The sequence below is a fragment of the Homo sapiens genome, chromosome 6, assembly GCF_000001405.40.
Source record: "Homo sapiens chromosome 6, GRCh38.p14 Primary Assembly".
Lineage (NCBI taxonomy): Eukaryota > Metazoa > Chordata > Mammalia > Primates > Hominidae > Homo > Homo sapiens.
Genome location: NC_000006.12, coordinates 127,599,185 through 127,608,249, shown reverse-complemented (window position 1 = coordinate 127,608,249; position 9,065 = coordinate 127,599,185). Strand labels below are relative to the sequence as shown.

At 36.8% G+C, this 9,065-nt stretch overlaps 1 long non-coding RNA gene across 1 annotated transcript; it reads left to right on the top strand.

The window, feature by feature from the left end:
• The first annotated feature begins 12 nt into the window (after window positions 1-12).
• Window positions 13-8,824, top strand: LOC105377995 (uncharacterized). The gene is made up of 4 exons (XR_942977.2): window positions 13-158; window positions 1,353-1,444; window positions 5,239-5,309; window positions 8,763-8,824. It is a non-coding gene; the product is annotated as an uncharacterized LOC105377995 (long non-coding RNA).
• The last annotated feature ends 241 nt before the right edge of the window (window positions 8,825-9,065 follow it).

Sequence of the window (9,065 nt, the reverse complement as noted above, 5' to 3'; positions counted from 1 at the left end):
GAAGGAGGAAAACATTGGCTTGGTGCTTGAGAGTCACATCAGAACATAAGTGGGGATGGCCTTGAAATGGCCTGTCTGCATTTGAAAGCCACATTTCAGGCTAGCTGTCTAACACTCTTGGAAATTCGCTAGCCCTGGAAGGTGCAGTTACTTCCCAGGTCTGGAAGGCTTCCAAGAGATTTATTATAAACGTGATCTTCCCTTTTTAGATCTATCAACTATCTATTAACTATCCATCAACTGTCTATGTATCATCACCTACTTATCTGTAATTTATTTCATTTTAAAAATAGTTGTATAAAGCTCCATCACATAAATACGTCATTATTTATTTAACCATTAATTCATTAATGAACATTCAGTAAAGTTGCTGCAAAATATCTTTCCTGTGTAAGCTATAATACGATGGGTCTTTTTACATCTTTAAATTGTGTTATTAAAAGTGGAATGACTGAATAGAGTTTACGAAATTTATTTTGGTATAAAGCTGAGAAAAAGATACACCTTTCTTTCTTTTTCCTAATATTTAGTCAATGAACCCAATTACATAAATGTAATAATCCTTTCCCCCCATTGTTCCAAAGTACATTTATCATATACTATTTTTAAAAAACAAAAAATCTATCTCTAGATTATTTTTTCATCCAGAAATACTGTTTTTCAAATTCTACTCCAATGAGCTAGTAATCTGTCCATCTTGTGCATCACTCAGTGCTCGCATGTCTAAAGATTGTGGCTATATGACAAATTTTAGTATCTGTTTAGAGAAGCCCCATCCTGGTTTGGGGGGTTTTTTTAAGAGAAAAACTCCTGGGTTTTCTTATAGGCTTATTAATCTACACTGGGGAGCATCCAACTTTTTGTAATGTTTAAGTAAAATTACAAGTTAAGTAATATTTTAAGTTTTGTAGCCCATTAGGTTTCTATCAACTAATCTACCCAGCTTTTGTAGGGCAAAAAGCAATAGACAATATGTTAGTGAATGCGCATGGTATGGTTCAGTAAAATTTTATTTTTGAGAACAGGTGGTGGACTGGATTTGGCCCAGGGCCATAGATTGCCATCCCCTGATCTAGATAAAATTTACAATATATTGGCCAAGTATAACATATACTTTTATTGGCTCATATCAGCCCCATCATTAAAACTCTTACTCTTTTTCCCTTTTCCTCATCAAGTTATATGTCAGCTTTCATGATCTGGTTAACAACCACCTTAACAGTCTTATTTATAACAATTTCTGCACATAGACTTAGACATGTCAAAATACTTCTTATAATTTATTATCTTTTGTATTGCCACACTTTTGCACAAATTATTTTCTTTTCAAAAATGCTATTTCTGGCTGGCAGGCAAAGCAAAATGGCAGAGTAGATCTCTCCAGCCATCTTACTCCCACAGGAACATCAATTTGAACCACTATCCACAAGAACCTTCACAAGAGGTAAGGGAACCTGAACATGTGAGTGAGATTATGAAGCCCCCTGGACTGCAAAAATGAATAAAATTGTGGTGGGATAGTAAATTGGTTCTCTGTGATCATGATGCTTGTCCTCCACAAGCCATTATGGAAACACATGCAGAAAATCCCCCTGGACTCACAGTTTCTACAGTGAAAAAGTGAGCTGGATGGAGGTGAACAGTAGGCTTCCTCACTATCCTGGGTTCCTCAGTGAGAGATTCACTCTGCATCAGCCCGCAGGGAGAATCACAAGTACTGATGCAGGGCTGAACCACCAGAAGTCAGTTCGCGTCAAAGGGAGGGGTGGGGCTAGGGGCAGCCAGCAGTGGAACTTGGCAGTGGCTCACCATCCCTGCCAGAAGAGACCCCACACCAGAGAGGCTGTTTATGGGTGCCACACTGTGGGAAGCACAGTCCACAGATGCTCTGGAATCTAGAGGCTGACTGGCTCTCCCACATGGCCCTGAGAGCCCTCCATAAATCTATCAGCCCATCCAGCTGGAACAGCTTTAGTGGTGGAGTCATTGTGAGTTTTGTTTCTAACCTGGTCATCAGGTGCCCTCTAGTGCTTAAATAGAATACAATAGCCAGTTTGCTCAGAATTTCTCAACAAGCCCACTGAAATAGTAAGGTCACAAATTCAGACATTGAAAACTAGATGAAGAAAAAGTGCTGACAAAACACACACACACACACACACACACACACACACACACAAAACATACAACCAAGAATACTGTGCTTAGCAAAAGTATATTTCGGAAAAGTAAGAGAAATAAAAAAAATTCCCAAACAAAAAAGCCGAGGAAATTTATTGCAACCAGGCCTGCCTTATAAGAAATACTAAATGAAGTTCTTCACACTGAAACCAAAAAATGCTAATGTTTAGCACAATAACATCTGAAGATATAAAGCAAATTCAGAATATTCTAACAAGACAATCGTGGAACATGAACCATTTACATCCATCATAGGAAGGCTGAAAGACAAAACAAATGAAAATAATAATTACAAAACTTTGCTAAGAGATAAGAAATATAAAAAGATATAAATTAAGACATCAAAAATGCAAAATGTGGGGAGGTAATGGAACTAAAAAGTAAAGTGGATTTCTTCTTATGATCAAAATTAAATTGCTATCAATTCAAAATAACCTGTTATAGCCATGTTTTTAGTAAGCCTTGTATTAATCAAAAAACAAAAGCATTTAATAGATACATTAAAAATAGCCAGATCAAAACATGCTAATAGAGAAAATCACTTAATCACAAAGGAATACAGTAAGAGAAAAAGAAACAAAGATTCTACAAAACACATAACACAGAAAACACATAACAACATAGCAAAAGCAAGCCGTCACCCATCAATAATGATGCTTAATATAGATGAATTAAATTATCTAATTAAAAGACATATAATTGCTCAATGGATTAAAAAATAAGACCCAACTTCATGCTGCCTACAGAGATGCACTTTACCTGTAAGTGAATGCACAGACTGAAAACGAACGGATGGAGAAAAATATTCCATGCAAATGGAAATCAAAAGAAAGCAGGAGTAGCTATACCTATATCAGATAAAATAGACCTCAAGTTAAAACTATAAGAAGAGACAAACAAGGCCATTATATAATTATAAAGAGGTCAATACAAATAAGAAGATATAACAATCATAACTATATATATGCACTTAACATTGGGGCACCTAAATATATAAAGCAAACATTAATAGATCTAAAGAGGGAGATAGACAGCAATACAGTAACAGTAGGGAACTTCAGTATCCAACTTTTAGCAGTAAACAGATCGTCTAGACAGATAATCAACAAAGGAATATCAGATTCAAACTGCACTCAAGATCAAATGGACCTACCAGACATTTACAGAACATCCAACAGCTATAGAAATTCACATTCTTCTCAGCTGCAAAGGGAACATTCTCTAGGACAGACCACATGTTATGCCATGGTAAAACAAGTTTTTACAAATTAAAAAAAAATCAAAATCGTATCAATTTACCTTTTCTGACAATAGTGGTATAAAACTAGAAATTAACAACAGGAAATTCTTTGAAAACTGTACAAATACATGGAAATTAAACATGCTCCTAAAAAACAACAGGTCAATGAAGAAATTAAAGGAGAATTCTAAAATATTATTGAGATAAATGAAAATGGAAATACAGTATACTAAAACTTAAGGGAAATAGCAAAATTAGTTTTTAGAGGGAAAATTATAGTAATAAACATCTACATCCAAAAAGAAGAAATGTCTCAAATAAACTAACAGAACACCTCAAGAAACTAAAAAAGCAAGAACAAACTAAGCCCAAATTTAGTAGAGGAAAAAAATAATAAAGATCAAAGCACAGGCCAGGCGCAGTGGCTCACTATGATCCCAGCACTTTGGGAGGCTGAGGAGGGTGGATCGCGAGGTCAGGAGATCGAGACCATCCTGGCTAACACAGTGAAACCCCGTCTCTACTAAAAATACAAAAAATTAGCCGGCGTGATGGCAGGTGCCTGTAGTCCCAGCTAGTCGGGAAGCTGAGGCAGGAGAATGGTGTGAACTCGGGAGGCAGAGCTTGCAGTGAGCCGAGATTGCACCACTGCACTCCAGCCTGGGTGACAGAGTGAGACTCAGTCTCAAAAAAAAAAAAAAAAAAGATCAAAGCACAGATAAGTAAAATAGAGACAAATAGTATAAAATATCAATGAAACAAAGATTTGTTTTTTTGAAAAGATAAAAAATCAACAAATCTTTAGCCAGTCTAAGAAAAAATGAAAGACGTCTCAAATAGATAAAATTAGAGATGAAAAATAAAGCATTACAACTGATACCACAAAAATACAAAAGATCATAAGAACCTACTATGAATAATTATACATCAGAAATTTGAAAAAAAAACTGGAAGAAAGGAATAAACTCCTGGACACGTAAAACCTATCAAGACTGAATCAAAAAGAAATAGAAAATCTGAACAGACAAATAAGAAGTTACAAGATTGAAGCAATAATAAAAAGTCTCCCCATCAAAGAAAAGTTCGGGATGTGATGGCTTCACTGTTGAATTCTGCAAAATGTGTAAGAAGAACTAATATCAATACTTCAGCAATGATTCCAAAATAAGTGAAAAAGAGTAAACTCTCCTAATTCATTCTAAGGGGCCAGTATGGCCCTGATTCCAAAACTAGACCAGGACACAACAAAAAGATAAAACTACAGACCAATATTCCTGATAAACATAGCTGCAAAAAATCCTTGATAAAATACTAGAAATCAGGATTCAACTCCACATTAAAAAGATTATTTACCATGATCCAGTGGGATTCATCCAATAAATATATTGATGCTTTAATATACACAAGTCAATAAATGTGATATATTACATTAACAGAACAAAGGATTCAAAACACATAATCATCTCAAAAGATGCAGAAAAAGCATCTGACAAAAGTCAATATCTCTTCATTATAAAAATCTCTCAACAAATTAGGTATAAAAGAAACATACCCCAACATGATAAAGCAATCTACCCATTCTGGTCTCCCAAAGTGCCAAGATTACTGGCATGAGCCGCTGCTCCCAGCCTTATTCTTCAAGCTTTCAGAGTTCTTTATATATTAGAAATATTTGCCATTTAAACATGGTCTGTGTTTGGAATATTCTGAATATTTTATCCCAGATAAATTATATTCTGTCTTTGTTTATGCTGTTTTTGTGATGCAAAGTTTTTCATTGTTATGTGATCAAATCAATTATTTTTTACTGCCTATAGGTTTTGACTTAACCTCAGAAGGCCTGTGCTCCAACGAAAGTTAAAGAGGAATTCACCCATGCTTTCTCCAAGTACTTTTATATTGTGCTTTTTGTTTTCTGTTTTGTACACTTACATCCCTTCCTTTTTGCCTTTCTCCTCTCATAGAAGTTATGCTTTTGGAAAACCGTCACTTAAAATTGCCTTTCCCTTTAAATAAAACTTGTCCTTTTAAATAAAGTTCTTCCCTTTAAGTCACAGGTCTGGCCCTTTAAGATGCTCTACTTTGAAATCTGTCTTCTACAATTGTGCTCTGATGTGCTCTGATCTGCCTATTATATGTTAGCATGTTTAGAATGGATTTCTGGTGGTTTAGAAATAATCTTTCTGGTGGATTTAATCTTTCACTCCATCCCACACTCAGACCCCTTTGCAAGTGTCTCTCTCTCCTGAGTCCTCATCTGCAGTTTTTCTCAGTCCCCCCTTGCTTGTTAAGATGAAGTGAAAGTCAGTGGGACTGGGGCACTGGTATCTGTTGATTTTTCTCCTTTTAATCCAAGTTATTAGCTGTTTCAGCATTGTCTGTCTTCAAGTAATAATGAAGGTTTAGTTGTGTATAGACATTTCACATGGGTTGGGAACATTTGGAGAGTGTTTATTACACTGCCTCTATTATCTACAGATAATAAAAAATCATCTGTATGTTTGTGAATTCAACAAAATTTATTCATGGTCCTGGCTCATCAAAGATACTTTTCCTGCTCTACCAATAGAACAGGTATCCATATCTAAACACAATTATTGTGACAATTTCTGCTTTTTGTGGATGCCTACTACATGTGGGGAGAATCAATACTGATAGAGACAGGAGGCAGCTAAGGGTCCCCCGGTGAAACCCCACCCTCAAGCCTAAAACAGCCTGAAGGCTGAAAAAAACCAGCCTGTTGGTCCAGAGAATCATAACATTGTGCTTTAAATCTCTAACATATTTAGCAGGCTTCCCAAAATGAAACTTTGGTTTCAAAATTGTCTTTCCTAATGTCTGGCTTTTGGAGGCTTCACAGTGCCCCTGGAGTATCCAAAAGGGAGGTACATATTTAGGTAAATGGGATTGCCAAAAAGGTGTTCAATCTTCTTTTTTTGTGAATAATACTAATATATGCTCCAAAATTGTATGGGATTTCAAAAATTCTAATGTCTAAAATACATGCTATCAATCATAATTAAGGTAGTTATGTTAAATTATTGTAAATCACAGAGATAACCAAACTTCATTGTCAAATGTGTTTCTAACTGTAACTACCTTGGACATTTTGTTATTCACAGACAATTGTTGCCATATTTTAATCCTTTTTAAAAGATGGTTTATAACAAGCTATAGAAATTTGACAGGTGCTCTCAAATATAGGTTTCTGATAACTTTGGAAATTGTGACATTGGAATAAAGGAAAGATGTACAGGACTCATGAACATCAAGCAAAATAAGCTAACTGAATGGACTGAACTCAGAAAACTGAAGCAATCTCTTTGACATTTGCTTGTAATACTGCTGATCCTTGTTTTGTTTTTCAGAGTCCAGTATACTCCTGTGAACAAAACTTGGAACGTGTTTGTTTCTCTCTGCCTTTTTCCTCTATAGTCTGGAAATTAGTTGTGAATATTCTTAACTCACAGCAATATAGTTGTTTGCATCAGTGCAATAAGAATTCATTTTCTTTTGCAACAGGATGCAATTGGAGAAACTGGTTGTTTTACTAAGGTTTTGACTGGAAGGGTTTGCTTCCCTTTAAAGAGTCAAGCTTAACTTGCAGAGCTGATAAAAGCCCCTTGGGAAAAACTGGCCTCATACTCTTCTCTACACAGTCCCTGTATAGGGTTCCTGACCTGCAGTCAGTAAAGAATGTCACTTTCTAACAGACCCAGGAGTTCCAAGTTTATCTTGGGACCTTAAGGGAAGAGGATCACCCAAATCACAGGTATTTGAAGATACAAATCCATGGCTGTGCTTCACTTTAAAAGGTCTTATCTGACATTCTTTGTGGAACAGAGTCCCATCAAAGCCAATCTAAAATGCCTATTTAGAGATAATTATTCTTGCTGCACTTTGTGCAAATAGTCAGGCCAAGTATAAGACTAAAGACTATTTTGCAAACAACTCAGTCCTTTCATGATTTTTTTTAACAAAACTGAGGACTGGAGAGACAGAAATTATGTTTTGAAACTTATCATATATTTGTCATTAAATTCTAAACTCATTAGCTCATTAGTTTTTTTAAGTTTTTGCCTACATTTTAGACTAACCCTGCTTGTTCTTGTGAACCAACCAGTGATCTCCAGCTGCAGCTCAGAAGAAACAAAAGGGAATGGGTAATATAAAAATCTGGATCAATATTCTAGTTATGAGCAATTATCCTGCAAATTCTGCCAGGTGATGGGAATGAATAGGGTGCCCATAACCCAGAGGATTCCTTTTTGGGAAAGTAAAACAAAGGGAGCTAATCAAAGCCAAGCACAATGCACTGAAATCTTAGCAAGCATAACTATAGCCACCAGTTATCTGGGCATGTCATAAGATATCCTTTTCTCTCCCTTGCTGGAGGAAGACTCAATTCCACAGCTTCACTTTAGCATTTGGCTTATGATAAGGAGTCCTTGCAACCCCCACAAGACAGATTTTTGTACCAAACTCAATTCCAAGCTTTGGATCAAAGCCCTAGAATAGAAAACTGGATCTAAGGGATCCGGAAACAGATGATAACAGAGGTTAAAAGGCACAACACAGGTGAGCATGACTGATTCCCTCCAATTAAGCCTAGCTTCTCATTCCATGGATAAAGGTCACGCTAATATCCATGGCATAAATGAGGTCTAGGGAATTCAAGGCTACTGACAGCAGGGATGATAGCGCATACATGGGTAAGAGCAGATACTCCCATCCCCTAGGCCCCCCTGTTAACATGGTTGAAAGCCACTTTAACACCCATGGGTGGCACCCTGTTGTGGTCACCAAGACTCGAGAACATAAGGACAGAGGAAAGAAAGAGGAAAGTCTCATTTTCCCTCTCCATGTGCCCTGGGTATGTGCTAGGAAAAGAAAGGAACCAGGGACACCTGCTCCCCTCTTTCTAGAGAGTAGCCATTAATCTTTAGTCTGTACCCCTTTTGAATACATCCTGAACCCCTGGGACTCCTCTGAAAAAATTCCTTCTTCTTTCCTTTATTTTCATCTATCCCTTTCACCGATAGATAATCATGTCTCCAAACTACAGGACACTCCCCTCAGATGCATCCTCCAAAATGGGAAGAGTTAATTTCCCAAACCTTAAACTGGTTGGCTTAGAATTGGGCTCCAGGGAAGAGAACCCAGAAGCCTAACATGCTGACAAAAGGGTAAAAGTTTTTTTTACTGGTCAGGCTTTTGGCATCCCCTCTCATTGTGCAAACTGGTTAAAAGGCCTCCGGATTTTTGAGCTGTCCTTACCCCTCCCTTATTCCATTTCTATATATGTTTTCTAATAACCCACTTTGTCTCTTCTCACCTTCAGGCCATCAAACTCCAAACCATCATGCAACCAAAGCCTTTGTCTATGGCTCCTTTTGCCAGAAACCCTTAGGTAGGCCTCTGAGGAAGCTCTGACTGCCATTTCCCTAAAATAGCGCCCCCTGTCAGCAGGAAGCAGTGAGGATCTGTCTTTATCCTTATCCTTGTTTTTTTAATTTAATTTAATTTAATTTAATTTTTTATTATACTTTAAGTTTTAGGGTACATGTGCTCATTGTGCAGGTTAGTCACATATGTATACATGTGCCATGCTGGTGTGCTGCACCCACTAACTCGTCATCTAGCA